This window comes from Homo sapiens, chromosome 10, assembly GCF_000001405.40.
Source record: "Homo sapiens chromosome 10, GRCh38.p14 Primary Assembly".
NCBI lineage: Eukaryota > Metazoa > Chordata > Mammalia > Primates > Hominidae > Homo > Homo sapiens.
Window position 1 is genome coordinate 78,847,092 of NC_000010.11, and position 25,364 is coordinate 78,872,455.

At 50.0% G+C, this 25,364-nt stretch overlaps 2 annotated features.

The window, feature by feature from the left end:
• Positions 4,351 to 4,938: an enhancer, noted in NCBI's record as "H3K27ac-H3K4me1 hESC enhancer chr10:80611199-80611786 (GRCh37/hg19 assembly coordinates)". NCBI's record gives its function as "activates a minimal SCP1, AML or CMV promoter by ChIP-STARR-seq in naive H9 embryonic stem cells {active_cell/tissue: H9 hESC(naive)}" and the evidence as "EXISTENCE:reporter gene assay evidence [ECO:0000049][PMID:30033119]".
• Positions 13,110 to 13,616: an enhancer, noted in NCBI's record as "NANOG hESC enhancer chr10:80619958-80620464 (GRCh37/hg19 assembly coordinates)". NCBI's record gives its function as "activates a minimal SCP1, AML or CMV promoter by ChIP-STARR-seq in naive H9 embryonic stem cells {active_cell/tissue: H9 hESC(naive)}" and the evidence as "EXISTENCE:reporter gene assay evidence [ECO:0000049][PMID:30033119]".

A 25,364-nucleotide genomic window follows, 5' to 3' on the forward strand; every position in this document is an offset into this window, starting at 1 on the left:
AGCAACGGCATCTGGTGTTCTCCGAGGCTGGCCCAGCTGCTACCCAGCAGGAGGCTCATTTTCCAACCCAGACCCTTCTTTCTGCTGCTACCCCCACCCCTGGGATCTTCTTGGGGTCACACATTGTGGCCTTTCTTGGGTCCCCTTGGCCTCTGGCTACAGTGTCCACTCTTTCTGTCTCTGGTTCTGACTGTGATGTAATTGGGAGCTTGAAAAACCCTGATTGTTTGATAATTATAAGGCAGGGAAATTACCAGGGCTTCAAAGGTTGCTCCCAATTGCTGTATTAATTGTCCCCTCGTTATCTCTCCATATAAAAGACCACTTGATAGAGACAAAAGCCAGCTAGCTTTTATTTCACAGCAGCCTGACAAGAGGATGAGGGGCTGCTGAGGGCTCCCATTTATTTCTTCCAAGACACAAACCTTTGCTGGGACCCGACCACCAGGGCCACCACATGCCATACCCCTCACCTCGAGACAAGGACTAAGGCACAGCACCAGCCAGGCCCAACTTCCCCAGACAGCAGCCCAGCCACAACCCTGCCCATCTCCTGACTCAGAGATTCACGGAGAGACAAAGCCTGCAGATTCTCATCTGCATGTTAGACATGCTTTTCTTTGAGTGCTGGCCTACATGTACATAGGCGGGACACTGTGGGATGAGTGGCCAACATTTACTGAAGACTTTCCACATGCCAGGTACCACATGGACTGTTTTACGTGCTTCTCTTTGTAACAATAGCTGTGCATGTTATGTTTATATCCATTTTGCAGATGGGACTCAGAGGGCTTAAGTAATTTGCCCAAGGTCACCAGCCCATGAAGTGCAAGGCCAGAAGCAAACCGTGGGCACCTGCAATGAGTTCTTCATCACTCCACCCTACTACTCTCTGAGTATGTGTGCAGAGTGTGTGAATGTGAGTGCGTGAATGTGTTGGGTGTTGTGAACGCTAAAGATAAAATCTAAGCAGTAGATACAATAGAAAAGAGGACTAAGCAAAAGATCTGAAATTAGCCAGGCATGGTGGCATGCGCCTGTAATCCCAGCTACTCCAGAGGCTGAGGCAGAAGAATCGCTTAGAACCCAGGAGGCGGAGGTTGCAGTGAGCTGAGATCACACCACTGTACTCCAGTCCAGCCTGGGCGACAGAGCAAGACTGTCAAAAAAAAAAAAGACTCAAATCAGGCGATTGTTAAATTGTATCTATATGCTTGATTTGTTTATTTTTAAAGGACATGGCCATGCCTTGATTAAACCACAGAGGTAAATGAACTCATGTTTGAATGCTCAGTTGCTTTGAGCACCTACTATGTGCCAGACCCTATGTTCTCTGCTGAGAGTGGCCTGGAGAGTGTCAACTGCAGGTTTGCGACCACGGGCTCCCTGCCCAGCAGGATCTCCCACCCAGCCACAGACACAAGGAAAAACGGAGCCACCTCTTCTCCTGCCATAATCTCCCCACATTTGAAGCCTCTGTCTCTGCTGGGAAGACCTAAGAAGGCTATGTCTACAGCTGCCTTAAAGCTATTAATTTTTAAAAGCCATTCCATGAGAGAACTCAAAAGTCACCTACCTGGCCAAGATCTAGCCTTAATCGACAATTGATTATCTTTGAAACCAACAAGGCAATAAATCATTAATTCATAATTTGGCTGTTGTTCTACAACTGTGGTCATATTTATTAATGAAAGAAGAGCCATGTGTGGAATCTTCTGTGGCCAGGCCTCATGGGGCCTATCTTTGACTTCACTACAGTCTCAGGAAAGATATCCTGATCCCAGGTTACAGATGAGGAAATTGAGGCCCAAAAGGCAAACATGATTTGCCCCAGACCACACAGCTCCTAAATGGCAAAACCAGAAGAGGAGTCAGGCTCCCACCCCACGGCAGCTCTCTAACATTATAAAATGCTCCATCTTTACCAACAGCACACAGAGATTATTTGCAAAGGCAAATAATCCAAAGGCAGCAAACACCAGTGCCTAGAGCCAGGTTCAGTCCAGCCACTCAGAACCATCACCAGGTCCTCTTGCCAGCCCCTGACCAGGGCACAGCCTTGGGAAATAAAGCCGAGGGTGGCGGCTCACTAGCAGATATTCCAAACCTACAGGTGGACTGCAGTTTACAGCAAAGCCACAAGCAGCTGGTTTCCTCGAGCCTGCATCTTTTTCTCTCTCCCCAGGTCTGTTCCAAGGCAGCCTTTGAGTCTTAGCCTGTCTTGGCCAGTGGCCAAGGATAATCAGGAGGTCTCAGGAGCATCAGAACGGGAAGGAAAGTAAGGGGCGGGCATCCACGGCTTCAGTGGCAGTCGCCTTTCTAAGTTTAGGGCCAGGAAAATGGTTGCTCCTACTACTAGGCAACCTGTTGTACTTTTTCTCTGGTTTTCTGGAAACTAAAAGAGAAGAGCTACCCTCAATTGTTGGAGTTATTCTGAGTACATATTTCATGATATAGTTTTATGCTCCTATTCTCTCCTCACTCATGCTCCAGCTTAGTAGGTAGGAATTATTGTCTCCATTGTACAGATGAGGAAACTAAGGTTTAAAGAAGAGATATGACTTGACCTAGTTATATCCAGCCCCAGTCTCTGGTCAGCAAGCCCCTTCACTAGACACCATGCACAATGCCCCTTCCTCAAGGCAACCGGCATGGCCTTCTAAAATCATGGATCACACTGCCTAGGGCCCTCCACTGAATTTCCTTTCCACTTAGAACAAAGTCCAAACGTCTCAGCCTGGTCCCCAAAGCCCTCAGTGAGCTGCCTCCACCAACCTCTCCCTCTCCATCCTCTCCCACACCCTCTCCCTCCCCGTGCTTCAGCCACACCGGCACTCTTTCTGACCCATGAAACTACCAGTCTCTTCCTCAGCCCCGGCCTCTCCCTGCTGCCTCCTCCTCTCAGAATGCTCTCCCTGTAGAGATTTGCATGGCTGGCTTTTCCTCATCTTCCAAGTCTCAGCTTAAATGTCACCTCCTGAGGGAAGCTCCCTTGACCACCTCACCTAAACTGGTCCCCAGTTTAGTTGCTCCCAGTCCTATCACCCTGTTATATTTTCATCCTCACTTTGATCTCCCCTGGTCATTTCTTGTTATTTGTGTAATGTGATGTCCCCTCCACTGGAGTGTAAGCTCTATGAGGGCAGATGGGTGAGACTTGTTCATCTGTTTGCCCAGCACCTAGTGGGACATCAACAAAGTTTTGCTGAGTGAATGAATCAACAAAAGAATAACTCAGCTGGGCACAGTGGCTCATGCCTGTAATCCCAGCACTTTGGGAGGCCGAGGTGGGTGGATCACTTGAGGCCAGGAGTTCGAGACCAGCCTGGCCAACATGGTGAAAACTGTCTCTACTAAAAATACAAAAATTAGCTGGGCACCATGGCAGGCGCCTGTAATCCCAGCTACTCAGGAGGCTGAGGCAAACCCGGAAGGCAGAGATTGCAGTGAGCCTGAATCCATCTGGAACTCCACTGCGCTCCAGACTGGATGACAGAGCAAGACTCTGTCTCAAACAAACAAACAAACAAAAAAGAATAACTCACTGGGACCCAAATAACTGGGTTATGGAACTCTCCACCCTTACACCAACGTGACTCTGAGTCAGGAAATATGCACCATCTAATTACACAAGGCATATGCCAGGGTCTGCATCTCCAGGTTGGTAGCTTAGTCCACTCAGCTCTCATCCAAGCAGTGGGTGATGGAGCAGCCTGGCACATTGGCTGGGAGACCAAGAACAGCTTGCTGCATTGTGCTTGGGCATGCCTTACTTTTAGGAGGCAGCACTAGCCAGTAATACTGGTCTGGCCCTATACAGTGGACATTGGTATAGCCAGGGGTCCCTAGTACTGGGTTTGTTAGCAGCTCTAGTGAGCAACAAAGACAGCTGCATCGAAAATGCATGAAGGAACCACACCCTTAGCAACTCCCAAAAATCACCAGGGAAGGGAAGTTTGCAAGGCTCTGAAATTCCTGAGACAGCAGATGGATTCAGATCAGGCGATCAGCAGGTGCTCATGCTAGTATGAGAACCAGTGCCTGGTGACCAGGTCATTCAGGTCAGGCTTGACCCTGCGGCCCCCAGCCAGCCCTGGGGGAATACTCCCTGGACACACAATGGGTGGGGTTGCCATGAGCTGTCAATGCTGAGATGGGAGCTCTGAAGCCCAAAGCAAGCCAAGCTGAGTTGCATGAGACACAGGACTTGAGTGAGGAGCCCGGGCTGGGCCAGAGCCTGATGCCAGTTCCAGGTCCAGGGAAACAGCAAGTCAAGGTGAGAGCCAGTTCAGGAATCAGGGTCATGGACAAATCCAAATTCAGTCAGAGGAGGCCGAGGATACAAGGCCAGGTGATAGCTACCAGGCGGTTTGGGCATGTTCCCTGGTGGAGGAGGCCAGAGCTTCCTCAGAAGGCCCAGCCCCAGGGGCCATGGCCTTACCAGGCCTCCAATATGGGCATCTTGCAGGCCGATTGGGACAGCAGGCACGGGCGGAAGCCTGTTTGAACTTTCTCAGCCTTGTATCTGAGGAGGGAATTAAACTGTTCTGTTCTACTAGGGCGTTTCATTGACTTCTGGCAAAACATGATGTCCTGCTTCAAAGGGAAGGCAACACACAGGCTTAGGAGGCTCGTTGGACATCAAAGGGCTATTAGAGAACAGCATCCTGATGAGCTAATTGCAAATGCAGCCCAGGCAGATGGAGCACATTTGCCCAGGAACATATGGGCTCACACATCCAGGGAGAGGGTGCCGGGGACAAGATGTGTGCTGGGCTTTGGTGGACCCAACATGTTTGCAAAATAATTCAAGATGTTGCCTCAGCCTCAGCTCCACTGCCCTCCTCTCCCCTCCCCTTCTGCATTCCATCAAGCTGGGGGTGGAGGACAGAGAGCAGGATCCCGATGCCTCTGAAAAGGAAGAGCCCTGGAGATCAGTGACAAGGACTGGGCCCAACAGACCAGACACTCCTCCCAGAGCCACAGGCACATATGAGTGGGAGAGAGGTCCTTCCTTATCCCCAGAGGCTGCTCCAAACTGTGTGCCCTGGACCAACAGCAGGAGGGGCGGGTACCAGTGGGCACCAGGATGGGCTATCCCCAGCCTCACCCACCCATCATTCTCTGCCCTGAAACAGTTGCAGAAGCCTCCTCCAGCTCCAGGATTCCAACATGTCAGGGAACCCTGAGACCATCCAGCCTAACTTATCCATCCCAGGGAACCCTGGGTCAGACCAGTGAAGGGGGCAGGTCCCCAGACCCTCACCCACCATGATAAGCAACTCCATTTTTATCTAGTTTGTATATCAGGATTATATGTAAGGTTTTCCTTGGAAAAAAAAAAAGAGCTCTACATTGCTGATCAAATGACTTCTCCGGAACAACCACTTCATCTTACAAGTCAGGAAACAGAAGCCGAAATGAGTGTGACTGCCCAGGTGACACACAGCAAGTTAAGGGCAGAGCCAAGACTGGGGTCCAGGACCCGGTGCTCTGGCCATCACACAAGGCTCACACCACATCAGTTCATATAGCCTGACCCTCGATGCCCGGCAGGGGTCCCAGGCCACAGCCAAGACTTGGCCTCCCTGGGCCCCCCCAAACACACAGCCTTCAAGGAGTGGGGGCTTCATCAGCAGGACCCTGTGCCTTCACAATCAGGAAGGCCCCTCAATGTCAGTAGCCCCCCACCCCTCACCAGGCTCAGCTGATGAAGGACAAAGGTGGCCAGGAGGCTAGGGGGAGCTTCTGAGGAGGAAGGCGGGAAGACACGTGGGAGGAAACACCATGTGAAATTAAGACTGACTCTGCTGACCCTTCTAAAATGACAGGCTGCAAGGACAGCAGGGAGGAGGGAGGAAATTGGAGGAGTTGCATGGGCCTTGGAGGTGGCCTTGTCCTGCCTATTTATTGTACAGATGAGAAATTCAAGACTGAGCCAGCAGGAGGCACTGCCCAAGGTCCACAGCAAGGCAGAGGCTGAGCCCTACCCCGACTAAAGCAGTCCAGAGGCTTTGGGCAGCTGGGATAAGCTCCCAATTCATCCACATGGCCGAATTCCTACAGCCTGGTTTCCAACCTCCTCTGTTTCCCCTTCCTCTTCACTCTCAAGCTCTCAGTCAGCATCCTGGCTTCTCCTTCACCACTCTGATCATGGTCTTAACTGATGGACTTATCCATGTGGTTCTTTCATAAATTCTGGTCTCCCCTGCCCCAGACCACAAGTTTCATGAGGGCAGGAGATATGCTTTGCTCCTTGCAGGATCTTCAGTGCTCAATATGTATTTGATGAATGAATGAGTGAATAGATGAATGAATATATCGTAGCTCTTTCTGACTTCAAAGCCTGCCACGGCTCTTTCCCACCATTGTGATTTTACTGATAAGCCCCTTACTCAATATTGAGGTGACTCACGATCTTATTCAAGTCTTTTTTTTTTTTTACTCCTATCTCTCCATTTTTCTCTCCACTCTTACCACCACCCCACACACTACACAGGCTCTGGACAAAGTCTACCCCTACTCCAGAAGACTCTGACCTCACAGGCCACAGCTTGAGACCTAAAATATCCCCTCCCCCACTACTACCCTTTGTCTAGATGACAGCATCCCCTTGATTCCCCTACAGCCAGCTCAGATGTCCCCTCTTCTTCCTCTCCTGTGAGCCTTCTGCCAACCCAGCCTCTAGGCAGCATAGCTGTCTTCCTCCTGGGTGGGCAACCATTAGGTACAGTTTGATAACTGGGATAGTACACATATATAGATGTTCCTTGACTTACAAAGGGGTTACATCTTGATAAGCCCATCATAAGTTGAAAATATTGTAAGTTGCCCATGCAACTTACAATCCTCAACCTGCTGAACATCTTACATAGCTTAGCCTAGCCTAACTTAAACATGCTCAGAACAGTTACATTAGCTCTCAGTTGGGCAAAATCATTGTGCAACACAGTACACTGTACAGTGGGAGTTGTTGACTCTGGTGATCACGTGAGTGATGGAGCTACAGTGCACTGTCACTGCTGAGCATCGCGAGAAAATATCATGCTGCTTGTTCTCACTTATAGGTGGGAATTGAACAATGAGAACACATGGACTTAGGAAGGGGAACATCACACACCGGGGCCTGTTGTGGGGTGTGGGGAGGGGGGAGGGATAGCATTAGGAGATATACCTAATGCCAAATGACGAGTTAATGGGTGCAGCACACCAACATGGCACATGTATACATATGTAACAAACCTGCAGGTTGTGCACATGTACCCTAAAACTTCAAGTATAATAATAAAATTTTTTTTAAAAAAAGAAAGTATCGTGCTGCCGTCTCCTGAATGTATATTAGTTTTGCACCATTGCAAAGTGGAGATATCTAAGTCAAACCACCATAAGACAGGGACTGTCTGTACAAGTAAGTATTTGTTTCCATGTTTGTTTCTACCATGAAAGACTGCGCCCTCCACAGGACTGGAAATGTGCTTACCTACCTCTGTGTCCCCAGATCTGGGGTTCAACCAAGGGAGGGCTTCAGACCCCTTGACTCCTAGTTCAGTGTTCTTTCTCAACTTCACATCGTCCCATTCCATTTCAACATTTCCTCCATCTTTCTCCCCTCTCTCAAGACCTACCATGTCTGGGACTTTCCCCTGGCCTCCCTTTTACCTACCATCCTCCTTTCATCCCATTCCTCCTCACTCCTCCTTCCTTCCTTCCCCATTCCTCCCCACTCCTCCTCAAAGAGGATCCCATAGGGAAGCTCAGGTGATGCCCAGATTGGCCAGGCTGATGCCTTTGGCTTGGGCCCATTATCCTCACAGCTCCCTGGGCCCAGTGGCCTATTGGCTCCCACCTAGAGGAGAGGCCTCAAACTGATGGCCCGCAGCCTAGACCTGCATGTGAAAATTTTAAGGCATTGCACAGTTCTATTTGGCCTGTGCAATGCTTTTAAAAACCAGTGCATTTTATATAGAAATAGAGATTTCCATTTCCTCCTGAAAATTTAAAATATCAAGCCTTTCTGGAGGCACTTTCTCACAGGGGATCAACTGGAAATAGTGGCAGTTGCTCTTTTAGGCAGGGTCTGTGCCCTCTATTTTGCCACAGGCCCCTCTACTCCCTATTGTGTGTCTTATCCTCCCTGCCTTGCTAATAGCAAAACTCTGCTTGACCCCTCTAGGCATCTGGGTTTGTGGCCTAGAGAATGCCTTGCGAGACTTTGTTTACTCCTAAATCAACTCGATCCTCCAGCCCATAGTATTCCCTCTCATTTACCCCCAGACAAGTATTCCCTCTCATTTACACACACACACACACACACACACACACACACACACACACACAGGCTACGAACCATGGTGCAGTGGAGCCCATCAGCCCAACTGCTGATGCTGTAGACAAGTGTCTCATTAGGAGTGTGAGGAAGGGAAGACCCTCCAGGGGAGGGGAAGGAAAATAGCATAAACACAGGTGGGGAGGCAGGAACACATGTGCAGGGCGGGAACACACCAGCGCAGAGGAAGCCAAGGTGCAGTGGGAGATGAGGCAGGCAGGTGAATTCCATGTTCCAGCTGAACTAGCGGCGGGCCAGCCCACAGGGGCTCATTCCTTCCACTCCTCAGTGAAGACAAAGACTGGGTCTCTTCAGTCTTGTGCTACCAGGAGCACAGTCTTAGTGACAGCTCCCTGTGCATTTTACCATCATGTAAAATGCTAGCCATAGCCATTGTTATGATTGTTGTCTGCGTTAAGGGCTTTCTGACTACCAGGGGCTGCAGGGAACTTGGTTTGCAAACATTATTGCATTTAACCCTCACTGCTCCATGGATAAGCATCACTACAACAAGAAAGGTCAGGGTCAGAAGGGTGAAGCAGCCTGCCCAAGGTTCCTCAGACAGTAAATGGCACAGTTGAGACTGCCTGGGTGCAGCGTCTGCGTCACCCCGCAAGGGTGGGCTTGCCAACAGTGTGTTCAGTTGAAGGGGTCTTGGTCTCAGCAGGAAACCAAGCCCTCTGACCATCTCCTTCCCTCAAGAATCTCCCCCAGATGGATCCACTGGAAAACAAACCCATCCCTGGCCACTCCAGCCTCTGAATGCAGGGGATGGGGAGAAGTGAGTGGGAAAGTTTGAATAAAATCCTCAGTCCGTGGGGCGGTAGGGAGTGTGGACTCTAGATCCAAGCGCTGCCACTTTCCTGGAGAGAAGCCTGGGAAAGATCCCCAACTACTATGCCCCTCTGTGTTCTACCCTGTGAGGCAGGGATCATAAGAAAAGCAACAATCATAACTGCACTTTCCTCTTGAGGTTAGGACAGAGGAGGAAAGTACTTTGAACAGTGCTGCACACAGTAAGAGCTTTGCTCATGGAGTGGCTTTACTTTGCTCCCTCCCATTCACCCACAACTTGGCTTTTCAAGTCCTTTGAAACACAGTGGGGAGCAGGATGCTGCCTTCCCTGTCCTCTTCCCTGCTGGGGAGGGTTCAGCTCTCTGGTGCCTCTCTGCTCTGCTCCAAGAAGCCCAGCTGGCTGCACCAGTGGCCTCACAGCTGTGCCCTATCTTGTGACAAGGCCCGGCTCATGGAGTGGGGCCAGCTTGGCCCTGTAGCCAGGGAGAAACTGGTTGGCTCCCAAGGAGTGCTCTGCTCTGAATGGGACCTGGCCAAGTGGGATAGTGCCCTCAGAATGCCCTCAGTCACCTAGCTGGCCTCTCAGGCAGGTGACATGCATGCTGACCCCCAACCCCAGGCCCCTCCCACCCCACAGTACCCACCAAAGCCCGCGGAGGCTTTTAGTTAGCAAAGACAGGGTGGAAAAGGGGTAGTGGGGGCCAGGAGCTCTTGGGCTCAAACCAAAGAGAAGGCCAGGGTTATAAGGGCTTTAAGTGACAGGCAGTCCAAGAACTTCCCTGCACCCTTGGGGAAACTGAGACCCTGAGAAGGGAAGGATCCAAGTTTGCATAGCAGGTGAGCAGCAGCAAGGGTGATTGTTCTTAGGAGGAAAGAAAATGGCTTTCATAGATCTTTGGGAAAGAGGACCAAGAAGTGTCCTCAGTGAGCCTCTAATCCCAGGTTTGCAAACTCAGGCATTGACAAGGACCAGGCAGGTAACTTTAGCAGGTGAAAAGCCAGGTAGGGACTTTGGTGGTCCAGGAGCACTTGGCCCATCTAAAGGAGATGCCCCTCCCCAGGACCTGCCACTTCTTTCACAGTAGTTTGATTGAGGTGTAATTCACATGCCATAGAGCTCACTCATTTAGTGTCCAATTCAATGTTGCTTAGCACATTCACACAGCGGCATGACATTCACCACAGTTCAATTTTAGAACACTTTTGTCACCGCAAAGGAAACCCCATGCCTATTAGCAGTCACTGTCCATCTCCTCACCACCCCTTCCTCTGCCCCTGGCCCTGAGCAACCACCAATCTATTTCTCTATAGATTTGCCTATTCCGGCCACTTCACATAAATGAAACTGTACAATATATGGTGACTGGCTTCTTTGACTTACTATGATGTTTTCAAGGTCCATTCATGTAGTAGCATGTATCAGAAATTCATTGCTTTCGTTACCAAATAATATTCCATTGTGTTGATATTCCACATTTTATGCATTCATTCACCATTTGATGGCTTTTGCATTGCTTCTACTTGTTTGGCTATGGCAAATAATGCTGCTATGCATGATGCTGCTGTGCATAAGGTTTTGTGTGGATATGTTTTCACTTCTCTTGCTTACATACCTAGGAGAGGAATTGCTTGATCATATTGGAATTCTATATTGAATATTTTGAGGAATTCCGCTGCTTTCCAAACTGGCTGCACCATTTTACATTCTCATCAGCAATGAAGGAAGGCTTCAATCTCTATATATCTTTGTCAATGAGGATGTCTGTCTGTCTTTTTTACTATAGCCATCCTAGTGGGTGTGAAATGCTCTTTGTAGTTTTGATTTGCATTTCCCTGATGATTAAAGATGTTGAGGATTTTTTCATGTACTTATTGGCCGTGTGTGTATCTTCTTTGGAGAAACGTCCATTTAGATCCTTTGCCCATTTTTAACTGGGTTATCTTTTTATTATTGAGTTGTAAGACTTCTTTATATAGTCTAAAGACAAGCTCCTTACCAATCCTATACGATTTGCAAATATTTTTTTTCATTCTGTTTGTCTTCTTTTCACTGTCTTGATGGTTATCATTTGCAGCATAAAATTTTCTAATTTTGATAAACTTCCTTTTTTTGTCACTTGTCCTTTTGGTGTCATATCTAAGAAACTTTGCCAAATATGAGATCATGAAGGTTTTACACCTATGTTTTCTCCAAGAGTTTGATAGTTCTAGCTCTTACATTTAGGTCTTTGATCAATTTTGAAAAATTTTTTTTTGAGACAGAGTTTTGCTTTTGTTGCCCAGGCTGGAGTGCAATGGCATGATCTCAGCCTACCACGACGTCTGCCTCCTGGGTTAAAGAGATTCTCCTGCCTCAGCCTCCCAAGTAGCTGGGATTACAGGTATGCGCCACCACACGCAGGTAATTTTGTATTTTTAGTAGAGATGGGGTTTCTCCATGTTGGTCAGGCTGGTCTCAAACTCCCCACCTCAGACGATTCACCCGCCTTGGCCTCCCAAAGTGCTGGGATTACAAGCGTGAGCCACCGCGCCCAGCCAATTGAATTAATGTTTATATGTGGTGGGAGGTAGAGGTAAAAATTCATCCTTTTGCATGTGGAAATCAGTTGTCTCATCACCATTTGTTGAAATGACTACTCTTTCCCCATTTTGTTATCCTGGTCCCCTTGTTGAAAATGGCACCCATGACCGTAAAGGTGAACATTTATTTCTGGACTCTCGGTCCTAATTCTATGCCAGTACTGCACTGTTTTGATTACTGTAGCTTTGTAGCAACTTTTGAAATCTGACTTTGTTCTCCTTCAAGATTGCTTTGGTTATTCTGAGTCTCTTGACTCTGAATTTTAGAATTCTGACTAATTGACTGATAAATTTTTAAATTAGCTTGTAAGTTTCCAGATTCAGCCACTTTTTGCCACATGAGAATATGAGACTATTTTTTTCTGAGTCTTCTGATTTTTAAAGAGAAGCCAACATTTTGGATTTTTTTAAACATAAAATGTCCTGGTTTGAAAGCACTATTCGGGCCAAACAAAACAACCTTAGCAGGCCAAATCTCAGGGCCACTAGTTTGCAACCCCAGCTCTAATCCAAAGCCCCAGAATTTACAAATGGCAAACTAAGATCTAAAGAGGACAGGTTCATTTCCCGAGGAAGGTCACAGAGCAAATAAGTTGGGGAACTGGGCTAGGACCTAGAAGTCTGGTTACGAGACAAGTGCTCCCCAGCTTCCCCTCCTCCAAGCAATGTTGAGCAGCATACACTAAACCCAGAGTGGAGACCCATCACGTGTGCCTAGTGAGGTTTAGAGCCCGAGCCCCTATCCATCCCTTCCAGCCCAGGGATGCTGGGCTCCCGAGATGCTGGTGGCCCCCTTGGTCTCAAGGCTGAGGCCCAAGTCTTAGCCTTGCCAATGATCTCTAAATACACAGACTCCATCCTGTGTCTCACCAGCTCGTGGCCCAGAAACACGGGGTGTCCTCTCTGGTGATCTCCTGCCATCTAGGGAAGGAACTCTGAGTGGAAGAGTAAGTGGCCCTCTCCCTCCCGCTACCTCTTCTTGGGGCTTCCACAACCTCATTTTAGGAAGGAAGCAGAAAAATCAGTAGTGGCCCGGAAGTCTGCAGCCCCCACAAAGTAATTTGGAGCAGGCAGAATCAGTGAAAAGAATTTATCAGATTGAGAACTAGGCGCGCCATGTGGCCAGAGCACCGGGGCTCAGGGACCACAGGCTGCAGCCCTGCTCTGCTCCTGCAATTAAGATGATAGCATCAAGACCACAGTAATCCTCCAGATCGTAAACTGTGTCACAAGGAGCCTCCTCAGCAGGGTGGATCCAGCAGGTAGCTGGTCATAATTTTTTTGAGGCTGCCTTTTTGACTTTTTTTTTTTTTTGACAGCAATGCCAGCTCTAATTTTACTGCAAGGTGGCAGAATTTCATTTCATACTCTCTGTAAAGATTGATTCACTGGAGTGTAAAAAAAGGAAAAAAGAAACATACACACACCCACCACCTTGAGGTGTCTCACATTTTCCATTCCTGATCGGCTCTGAGAAATTGAATATTACAACATGGTGATGTTCGCAAATTTTTCTTTAAATCGTTTTTTTTTTAAGTCACTGGCATTAGGACTCATAGAATCCTAAAAAGGAATGGTGAAAGGAGCCCTGGAAGCTTGTTGCACCTAATCCCCCACAACCCCATGACTTGAGAGTTGAGGACTCTAAACAACAGAGAACAAGGGACTTTCCTAATGTCCTACCGTGCGCAGCTGAGTGGGCTGAGAATGTAATTTTAATGGGCACACAGCATGTAAAATCTGCACGTCCCTTTAGATGTCATTGACTCCAGGGCATTTCATTTTATAACATGGGGCTGAGGCCCAAAGATGGGGCAGGACAAACCCAGGTCCAAGGGGAGCAAGGTGGCAGCCCTCACTGTGACACAGGTCAGCAGATGTTGAGTCCACAGATTGCCTTGCTTGATTAGGGGGAGCCCACAGCCTTGCGAGAGTAGGGTGGGGAGAATGGGAAGAAGGGGAGGGCACTTTGGGGTGAGCAGGAAGGTCAGGCTGGGAAGCAGACAGACCAGAATATCCCAGGGACCCTTCCTCTGCCCCCTTCCTTTGCCCTTTTCCCCAGACATACCCGCTAGGAACAGGCCAGGATGTCTGTTCCACATCAGTGTGCACCCAGTCTCCACAGAGGAGGTGGCACATGTGAGCAGCTCTAGGGAACACTGCATGTGGACACACGGAAGGTAGCAGGTGGCCCTGGGAGAGAAGAGATAGCCAAGAGGACCTGAGATTCCTGAAAGGTGTTGCCAAAGCTCTGCCACAATTTATTCTGGAAATGGCAGAAAGACGTGGACTCTATGACCACATAGTTGGGTACAACTTATTATCCAAGAACCTATGACATTCCCAAGTTCTGCAGAATGTGGGTTCATGGTGACCCAGAAGAAAGTATCTCTGGAGGTCCCCAGGGTGCTGCTCTCTACCCTTTGCTATTGATAACTTTGATTACGTTCATAAATGGGCTTACAGGTCAACGTGAATCCATTCAGACGGACAGGAAAGCAAGTGGGAGGGATGACAGCTTCAGGATTCCAAACAGGGTGTCTACACACATTCATTAGGTGCCTACTATATGCAAGATCTTTCTGTCCTTCGGGACCATGAAGACCCTTTTCCCTGCAGAGAATGAGGAGAACATGCAGTGAGGGCACTGGGACAAGGCAGCCCCAGGTGCTGCAGCTGGAGCCCAAGGCATGATAGGGCCAGGGCAGCCTGATGGGAGCCCAAGAGCACCATGCATCTGCCCGGGCCCCTCATGGGAGGGCCCAGTGCAGAGGGAAATGTACTGAGTGTGGGACTGACAGACTGCTGGCACTAAGCCAGTGACAGCATCCCTGTCCTGTGAGTACCCTTCTCTCTCAACACAAGAGTGGAGCCAGAGCCAGGCAGCCACAGCCTCGGGAGTGAGAAGGAGCAGGTGGGCAGGCTGCCACCACCACCAGCTGCTGCCCCTCACTTTGAAGACAGAGCTAGAAAGCATGCAGGCCCTGTGACCCAATGAGACAAGGGCACCCAGGTGGTACCCCATGGTGGCCAATCCTGGGAAGGGCGAGGGGCTCCCAGCTACACCCCCCAAAACTCCTCTTTAACCCTGTCAGTGCCCACCCTCTAGCATACCAGTCCATCCCAACACCACCCCTCACCCCAGCCTTCATCTCAGTCGGCTTCCTCCATGAAACCTGCATGAACTCTAGCACTCTCCCTTCCCTGGCTGTGGGTAGCCCTGATTCATTTGGCACTGGTCTTTCCTGTGCTTAGTGGCCACGCCCAGAGGTCCTGTACAAGTTTAGAGGGCCCTGCCCCATCTCTGGGCAGTATCCATCAGTCCCTTCCTTTAGCCCCTGAGTCAGCTCTTCTCCATCCACAGCCACCATGTGGGGCAGCCTGGGCTCTCTGTGCCCATATGGGGTGCCCTGTGATGTGTTTATTCCATAATAAACTGTATACCATGCCCTGAGTTAGGTGCCAGGGATGCCCCAGGGAACAGGACTCCAGCCCCAACCTTAGAAACTGTCTGATAAGGACAGAACCCAGTAAATGAACAGTGACAATCCAGGGACCATTCCCTGGGAAGGCAAATTCTGGGGCCTGTGTAACTGCCACGTGGCAAAGGCACCTAACTTGCAGGAAGGGCATCTGAGAAGGCTTCCTGGAGGAAGTGACACATACACCAAGAATTAAAGGATTAGCAAGAACTTGCCAGGTAAAGAGGGAGAGAGTGTGTTTTGCAAATATACACCTATTTTTTGAATTCCTATTTTGTACCAGGTATTGGGGATCAGCAGCAAACAAGACAAACCCCACTGCGACGGACTTCAAAGTTGGGTATAGACGCTGATGTGACATGAATAATTACAACAACATGAAATTACGACTGCGTAAGGAGGAAAGGTCCAGGATATTGAGAACATAAAAAAGGAGACATGGACTGGAATGCAGATACACAGGAGTCTCGGGGAAGGTGAATTGAGGCTGAAGTTTGAGGGAAGAGAAGAGGTCTACCAGGCAAAGGTGCATACAAATGGAAAGAAGAGAATTTGGGGCAGAAGAGTCTGTGTCAATGCCCTGGGGCAGCAAGGAATTTAGTACTTTAATAGACCTGAGAAGAATGAATAAGACAGACTGTTTGGGGCACAGAGGCAATGTTTTAGTTACCCTTCATCACTATGGTGAACATTGTGCAAGGATGTTGAAGGTGGAGCATCCTTTAATAGAGTTTCCAGCAGAGGACTCACCAAGAACCCATGACAGCACCACAAGAGAAAGCCCAGTTACCCACCAACCTGAGAGAAGGGACAATGCCAGGTCCCACCTCCCTGCTGCAGGAGGCTGTACATGTTGCCCTGGATCCCCTCTCCCGCTAGGCCTCCAGGTTATCACATTTCTTCCCTATCTGTCATCACAGGTAATGGCAGAACATTCTCCCCATTTTATGGATATGGAAATTGAGGCTCAGAGAGGTGCAGCCAGGCACCCAAGGTCATGCTTCCAGGAAGCAGGTATCCAGGTTCAAATCCAGACCACATGACCCCAAGGGAGCCTCTTTGCTCTCCTCCCCCACGAACTCAACATGTACCCAGCACCACTTCCTCGCTTGTTGTAGGTGTGGGATTGGATGGCTCAGACCCAAGGCCCAGGCCCACAGCCTCTGGATCCCTGTCCAGTCCTGGGAGGTGTCCTGGCCCCTTGCCTCTCCAGCTGCACCCGGGAGCCTGCTCACTGTGCCTTGGATTTTAATGTTAATTGCCCATAAAGTTTTTCATCTCAGCAAATCACAGCTGTGACCTGCAGGGAAGGGGGCTGAGAAGAAAGGTTGTTAAAATGTGGAATTTGAAAATGGCCATCTCCTTTAAAAACAAAAGCATGTTTTTGCTACAGGCATCTCAAGGGCCTCTCATCTCCTCGGTCACCCGCCAGAGTGCATGTTGCTTGTCAAGCGATTCCATCTTAATCGACAATTCAATTGGTCCAAATTACATTATGTATGTAAATTTCCATCTGCAAATCAGCCTGGCTTGGACATCACTCTCTCATCTGTGCGCCACTGCCCTGGTCTCCAGCTCCAAGGCCCACCCTCTGCAGGCCAAGGGAGAGGACCTGCAGGGACCAGGAGGTAGAGCCAAGGGCTGGACATCATGTGTCACAGAGTCACACTGTACCCAAGCAGCAGGGTGCTGGGGGATAAACCAGGCTCTGGGTCCAAGGTGGGTTTCAACCATCAATTTTCAAAGAGAACAAACTGGGGAAGCCCCTGCGGTGGAGCCTGTCCTCTGATTTGAAGCACAGACAGAATCTGGTAACACTTAATGATGATGCTATCTACTAGGGAGGTGGTTGTGTATAGCAGATTAGAAAGAGCATGGACACTGGAGCCAGACTCCCTAGGTTCAAATCCCAGCTCTGCCACATATCTGCTCTGTGGCTTTGGGCAGATTGCTTAACCTCTCTCAGCCTCACTTCTCTTTTCTGTAAAATGGAGACAAGATGGCATCCTCCACATGGAGTAGTCATAAGGATTGGATGATTTGAGCTAGAACAGTGCCCAGCACCATGTAAGCATTCACTGTCACCATCATCATCATTACTACTGCCACCATTTTGCCACACAGCATGCAAGAGCCCTTCCACTTGTTAAGTGCCATAGTGAACCTGCTCAATTTGATAGGGTGCAAGCTGGCAATGACCTGCTTTCTTCTCCCCACCAGGGTGGGGAGCAGGGTGAGGCAAGGGAAGCACTCATCTTGGGCACATAATTTAAGAAAGCATCAAAAAACCTCAGTAATAAAAATAAATAATATTTTAATGCAATATTTTTCAAAAGCAACATTTATGCAAAAAACTCGTGATGCACAAAAAATCAAAATGAAAACCCACTTGGCATATATGGTTCTTTTCCTGAGCTGAACAAACTCTTGACAGGTTCCATCCCTTTTTCCTATCACTCTTCTGTGATAAAAAGTCATCTGGTCACTCGAGTAAGCAAAACGAATCTTCTTTCAATAATAAAAAATGTCCAGTCCAGGTAAGAGCCCACTCTCAGCCCACTTCCAGCCTGTTCCTGCCACCGGTTTGGCTGGGATGCCACTGCCTTGAGAAACAGGGGCAGCCCAGTTCTGCTCTCCTGACTTCTGCCCTCCTCCTCCAACACATCCCTTTGGATTCTGACCCTTCACAGGGAGGCCCAGGGAGAGAGGGGATCCAGGACAGAATGTACAGCCTCCTGCAGCAGGGAGCTGGGACCTGGCACCGTCCCTTCTCTAAGGTTCGTGGATAACCGGGCTTTCTCTTGTGGCGCCGTTATGGGTTCTTGGCGAGTCCCACGCTGGACACTCTATCATCTCAGTTCTGTTTCATCACCTGCTGGATGAAACAGATGTTCACCTCCAGGTACTTCCGCAGTTCTGAGGCATCCGGGGGTCCTTTTGAGGCCGTATTGCCCCCTGCCCCTGCTCCCTTTGGGGAGTTACACAGTCAGCCTCTAAGACACAGGCCATCTCACCTGCACCCTTGCTGGCAGCCTCTGTTCCCCCCTCACTGTCCCCTCTGCTGCCTCAGCCCCTTCCAGCCCCAGCTGCTCTGCTTCAGACTTCCTGGGCATGGGGCAGACAATGGACATTGTGTTTGCCAAACCTAAATATACCCTTGCCAAACCTTCCTTATAAGCTTCTCCCACAAGGCAAGAGGTGAGAGGGGAACCAACGCCCAGCAGCCCCTGCTGCCCCAGAGGAAGCTTATCTTGGCCTCTCTCTGATCCCTTTGTGGCAATGAGCATTGAGCTAAGGGTCACAAAACCAGCAGCCACCACCTCCATTAAAGCCCAGCCGAGCAAGTCTAGAGCCCCGTTTGGAATAGATGGTTTCTTGGCCTCGCCTGCTTGGTTCTCAGCCTTGGGCAGTCAGCCAGAGCTGAGGCACAAACAGAGATGCCTGTGTGTTCACCACATCCCGAAAGGCAACTCTCATTCTTCCAGGAACAGATGAGGCATCAGAGGACCCCAGAGACAAACCCCCACCACCAGTGGTGTGGCAGTGCTGAGACACAGCCCCTCAGCCTTCTGCCTTCCCCCAGGCCAGGCTGGTGTTGATCAGAATAGACATGGCCCTAGTGCAAAGTGCAAGTGGTGTTGTTTGGGAGTTGACAACCTTCACAAAAAACACAGTCAAGACACATGCTTTTAGTAAGCACCTACTGCATGCCCAGGCCCCACTTGTTCCAGCAGGTGATGAAAGCCTGACCCCTGACCTTGGAGTGTGTGGAAACCAGATGACAGTTTGACCCACACACAGGCCATGAGGGGAGAGCAGTGTGAACAAGAGGCCCCTCCCTGACCCGTCCTCAACGAGGGAGAGCTACCCAGAAACCTCCCCCAGAGAGCTCCTTCAGGACCTCAGCAAGTCCCCAGGCCTCCAGGCAGGGCCTCTTTTAGCAGTTGGGTTTTGATGAGGGGAGGGGGTCGATGAGATACAGGCTCCTCCTTAACCAAACACACTGTCCGTGCCACCCAGCATCTTAGGGCCGGGCCAGGGCTCTGTGACCTTTGGCACATGTCTGGGCCTTTCTGGGCCACTGAGCCTCTACTGTCACATGTTTATCTGGGAAGAATGAAGAGAGTACCTCACATCAAAGGACGGGGGAGAATGAAATGACGGGGTGCATACCCAGGGTCAAGAACGGTATCTGGTGCACACTCAAAAGCACCTTATTGGAGCAGGATGGGCCTCCTGCTGCAAGCCAGGGCCCTGCGCCACCAGAGGACGGGGCCAAGGGACACTGAGCAGTCCTTGAGTGCCCCATCTGCGCTTCCCAGGAAAGAGAGGGAAAGTGGTCTCACGTGCTGACAGGTCAGACATTCACCCAAGAAACACCTGCCCAAGCATAAGGCCTTGAACCCAGTAGGTGCTCAGTAAATATGAAGCCACTAAGTCCCACTGAATGGGAACAGGAGGAGCAGAGCTGGGCCAAAGGAGAGTGAATTCAAAAGTGGATAATGGAGGACTTCCCAGAAGAGGTGCTGTCTGAGCCAGACAAGGGGAAGAAGGAAGCACCGACCCAGGGTGGGGGCACAGAAAGCTCGCCCAGCCAGAGGCTCAATGCCTGGCTACCAGGGCAGCCACGGGTTCCCCAACCACACAGGATCACAGGGCTCTGCTCCTCTTCTCTGCCTGCCCTCCCCATTTCACAGTGCATTCCCTGAGGGCAGGATTGGATCCAGCCCAGACACAAGGGTGGTCCCAGCACCCAGGCTCCTGCTGCCTCAGGACTGGTGCTCTGAAGCATTTATCTCAGTGCCCCTTGGTCTCTGGAGGCTGAGCTGCCAGGCTGTGCACTATCTCTCCCTGGGGCTCTAACCCATTGCCTCATTCATTCAACACTATCCCGGAGCACCTTCCATGCACCAGGCACTTCTGCAGTGCTACAGATACCGGGGCAGACAGGACAGTGTCCTGCCACATGGGGCTAGGAGTCTCCAGCAAGCTAATTGTGGTGACTCTGAGGCCTCGCCTGCTTTCCCAAACTCTTCCAGTGGGGAAGGTCACCTCAGGCTTGAGCCTGGCAGTGGGGAGTTTTAAACTACAGAGAAGAAGAAAAGCCGATCTCCAATGGGAGTGCTGGGAGGAACAGAGATAGACTTAATCAGTTTTAAGTTCCCTTTCAGCCCTGCAATGCTCTGAATCCTCCACTCCTGAACACTTGAGAGTTAAACAGAGAGTTCCAGCCCAACCAAAGCCCAAGAGACTCCAACTCTAAGGAGATGGGAGACCCTAAGCAAGTCCTTTTCTTTCTTTGGACCAGCACAATGAGAGGCCTGGAAATTAGGGTTGCCAGGGCCCTCTCAGCAGACATCACCCAAGATCCTTGGCTTTCCCTGGGGGCAGGGGAATCCCATAATAACACCCACCTAACAGTGCCCACAGACAGTCCTAGGGCTGTGCTAGGAGTCCCTCCAGGCCCCATCGAGAACCAGGCAGGGCCCTGGATGGGGAAAGAACAAGCCCTGGGCCCGGACCTCGGGGAGGAGGAGTGCATGGGGCCTCTGGGTCTGGCTGTGAGTAGCCATAGAGTTGATAATTCCAACCCAACCCTTTGTACCAGGCCTGCGGAGGCCATCATTCTGGCCACCCTTCACCTGGCCTGTCTCAGATCATTCTGACCACCCTCTGCCCATCCTCTTTCAGATGCTGCTCCTGCTTTGGCCATGTCCCAGGAAATCACGCTTCAGGTGAAGCCTTCAGCCACCTGCTAATGGGAGTGTCCCCTGCCCCGCCCCCCACCCCCTACTACCATCCTCTCTTAGCAGCTCTGGCTCTTCCAGAATCTCCTCTAGGGCCACTCCAGCCACTCTCTGTGCCCCAGTCCCTCCAGCTGCATAAAGTCCCCTTTTCTGCTCAAGTTAGGGGCATCTCCTGCTCTAACAGAGCCCTGTCTCCTGCGAGACATTGCAGGAGATCTGCTGTAAGGCTGTCTGTCCCCTACTGACCACCTCTTTCCATGGGGAGCCCAGACTTCGCCTGGCTTAATTCTCAGGAAGAAAGCCCCTCAGGTACCTGAGCTTTAGTATCTAGAGGGCACTGAGCATCCATCACCTCAACCAACTTGGCAAGTGGGCAGAACAGGCAAGCAAATAGATGAGTAAACTGAAGCACATAGAGGGAAAGAGCTTTGGCCAAGCTCCCCCAGCAAGTGAGCAGTGCATCTGACATTTGCTTCTGGTTCTCCAGAAACTCCAGGCAGGACTTTTTCCACAGTACCGCACAACCCTCAGTACAGCACTAAGCAGGGAGAAAGAAGAGTTGGCACCTCACCCAATGTCCCAAATATTTTGATTGGCTAACAGCACTTACTTTATTTATTTATTTTTTTTAGACACAGAGTCTCGCTCTGTTGCTCAGGCTGGAGTGCAGTGGTGCCATCGTGGCTCACTGTAGCCTCAAACTCCTGGGCTCAAGCAATCCTTCCGCCTTAGCCTTCCGAGCAGCTGAGACTCCAGGTGAGTGCCAATGGTGTGCTTTTAATGTTGCATTTCAGTGCTGTTGGAGGGTCATGTGCTTTTCAGTTCTCCATGGGCCCCACACTCCCTATGGTCTCATGTCTTCCTCCTGTCCTCATTTCTGTTGTCTGCCTTGTTCCTGGAGGTAGCAGAATCTGTAACCCTACTGTGCCCCTGGGAGCTGGTCTGTGTGCTTAGCTCGTCTTCACTCCGGCACTGGCCACGTTTCCTTTCGCCCCTGCCCTTGGGGCACTTAGTACCTGTCCTTACCTGCAGCCCTGCATTCTTCCTCCTCTCCATGCTGCCCTTCCACAGGTGTGCCCCGCTCCACTTTCCTTGCCTAGAAAGTGCTTACTATTCATTTATCCTATGTGCATGTTCCAAACAAGTTACCCCGCATGCCAGGCACTACTTTAAATGATAGGGATTCAAGGATTGCTAAGACAGGGTCCCTTCTCTAAAAAGACACTAGCACAAAAGCCGATAAACTCAGAACAACTTTGAAGTGCAGAACTGGAGACAAGCGCAGAGGAATCCAGGTCTTGCTCAAATATCACCTACTCCAGGATAGCCTGGGCCCTGCCTGTGTGTTCCCATAACACCTTCAATGAGTCTCTAGTAGAGCTCTTATCATACTGCATTATAGATACGTTTAAACTGGCATCAAAAACAAACATATATTCCTTTCAATATTCCCAAGACTTAGATAGGTCCAGGTACCTGTCAGTAATGGGCGAATGAATAAATGAGTGAATGAATGTCATCATCAGCCCATTCCCTTGTAGATGTTTATATTTGCACATAGACTGGTGTATATCTGTGTTTCCATTAAGTTAACCCTCTTGGTGGGTACTTATTACCTGCCCACCCTGCGTGGGGCCTCCTGCCGTGTCCTTGGTCTGGTAGAGGAATGGACGTGGCTTCTGGCCCATGGCCAGCACAGGGCGGCCGGGCAGACAGGCCCATAAACACACAGCTGCGTCCAGCAGTGTGTGCACCTGACCCTGTGTGGATGTGAGTGTTTTCATTTGAACCATGGCATTTCACTCTTGTCCCTTGAATGATAATTGGAACCATGCCTGGTGAGTCCATCGGACCCAGTCCTCTCGAAGTCATTTCGATGATATGACAATCTGACCTTGAGCAGAAAAGAAATAAAGTGAAAAAAGGCAACGTCTGTCTGTGGAGCTGGAAGTTTGACAGTGGCCCGGGAAAGGAGTAAGGGCAGAAGAGGGAACACCGGCCTTGGCATCTGCTGAAGCCAAACGCTGCCTGGGACATGGAAAGGATGTGGAGGGTGACTGTGAAATTGAACTAAATTGAAAGAGAAGAGGTGTCCACAGCAGGGTGACAAAGCCAGCAAAGAGGCAGTGCCTGGCAGTGGTCAGGCCAGCCTGTGCCGACACCCACTCCCTCTTCTTTCCTCCTGTCTTCTCCACTCTGACACCTCCCAGAGGTGCAGAGACTAAAGGTCTTGCTCCCCCGGCAGGCAGCATGTGGACGGGAAGTGGCATTTGGTGGCGTCCTGATCAGGGGGCGAACACCACCGCTTCCCCAAATTGGTTTTCCGACAGTAAATTATAATTGCTCTAAGTCTTCTAGAACTCAGGGACTGAGATTAATTATGGCTCCGTATCCTATGGCGCTCTGAACTTTAAGCACAGCATGGTGTGCAGGTTGTTAATAAGAAGGAGAATCTGGGAGGACTTTTCAGATGAGCAAATAAAAAGGGAAAACTGTTTGAATTGGATTCTGCATCTGGGAAGGGGGGCCTTTCGGGCTTGGGGGGATGCTTCTCATCTTTCCTGTGTGGCCTGGGACTGTGTTTATGATGATCAGAAGCATAAAACGGCTTCCAGGGAGTGGGCACCAGTGGCAGGCCTTCATCTACCCCACCCAGAATGGGTCCAGCCACCATGCTGGTGACCCTTTACAGGACTCACAAGTCTAGCAGTCATAAACTCAGACGTTAGCAAAGTTGAAAAGGCAAAGTAAGCAAGTGGGACTTGCAGGCCAGGGCTTCTGTAGAGAATGATGAGGCTGGGGATCTAGGAAGTCCATGCCTAAGGGTCAACCTCTACTGGGCTCCAACCAACCCCTGTGGGAATGTGGCCTGTTCTGTTGGGTCTTCAGGAGCAGAGTTCCAATTTTTAATATAAAATCTCTTGATTTTCATAGTTGGAAGCTTATAATTTTTAACACACTCTTAAGGCCAAATATATCTATGCTGGAATTTGGTCCATGTGCCTCCATTGTGAAACCTCTACATCAGAAACAATGTCTTCCTGCAGGTGAGTGGTAGGTTTGGGCCTCTCTCCCTTCCCATCCTTTTGCCTCCTGGCTCCCTGTACATTGTGCATTTCTCTCTGCAACCCTTGCCACTGGCACCAATCTTTTCATCTGTCCCCCAACTTGAAGCCACTGGATTGGCATGGACTATATAGCTCTGTATCCAAAGCAACTAAGAAAAGGTACACTACAAATCAGGGGCTCAAATGATGTTTGTTGAATGAATAAACATCATGCACATTTATACCTCTTGTTCCCTGCTCATTCTCTTCATTCTACATCAACTATCCTTGAGTCAAACTCTGACACGTGGCTCCAGTCCAAGCCAATGTCCCCCTGTTCTTTTTGCCATGTTTCCAGGTGTTGAAGCTGGAGTCAGGCCAAAGAGGGTTAGAAGTAGACAGCATGTAGAGTTCATGGTAGTCACTGTTCAGACAGGCAACTGAATCCTGGAAGGAAGAAACAATTGGCATAAGGTGAGACCATGAGCTGATAGCCAAGCCATGTCTGGAGCTAGGACCGTGTGAGGTCGAAGCCCCTTAGCTCCACCCTGGGCCCAGACTTGCTCTGCCTTTCTCCCTCTCTCTGAGAGCATCACCCAGGCTCTCGGGGGCAAATCCTCCCACCAGCCCCCATCCTGAGGATAGGGCTACAGCAGTACAAGTTCCTCAAATCCCAAGGCTTGAGAGTCACCATCACCTCATCATGCACTCAGCTCAAGGTGTACTGAGAAAGCCATTCATTTAATAGAAAATAGGAATTACCATTTAGAAATTAAAATGAATTTATTTTATTAAAAGATGTTCTGGCACTGGGATCCATCACTGCTCTGTCTCTACTGCTGGCCCTGATTGTAGGGTTGGCAGGGGACACCCTGAGAACATGCTGACCCTGACAACCCAGTGCCTGACTAAGGCATGACCATGACCCCACCCCTTCCCAGGGCCACTACCTGTTGTGGCCGTGGCATTCAGGTACAAGAAGGAGATTGGAGGAAACAGTACATTTGTGCTAGGGGTTGGCTGGCCTCCTCTCCTGCCTCCTTTTTCCAGCCAGAAACTCAGAGAAGGAACTATCAAGTGGGAAATCGAGGCAAGAGCGTGTAGAAGTCAAGAATGTGGGCTTTGGAGTAAGACATGGATTTGAGTTCAAGCTCCGGTGTTTGTCCATGTGTGACCTTGTACCAGCCCTTGTTTTTTTTGTTTGTTTGTTTGTTTTGAGACAGAGTCTCACTCTGTCCCCGAGGCTGGAGGGCAGTGGCACAATCTTAGCTCACTGCAAGCTCCACCTCCCAGGATCTCGCTATTCTCCTGCCTCAGCCTCCCGAGTAGCTGGGATTACAGGTACCCGCCACCGCCTGGCTAATTTTTTGTATTTTTAGTAAAGACG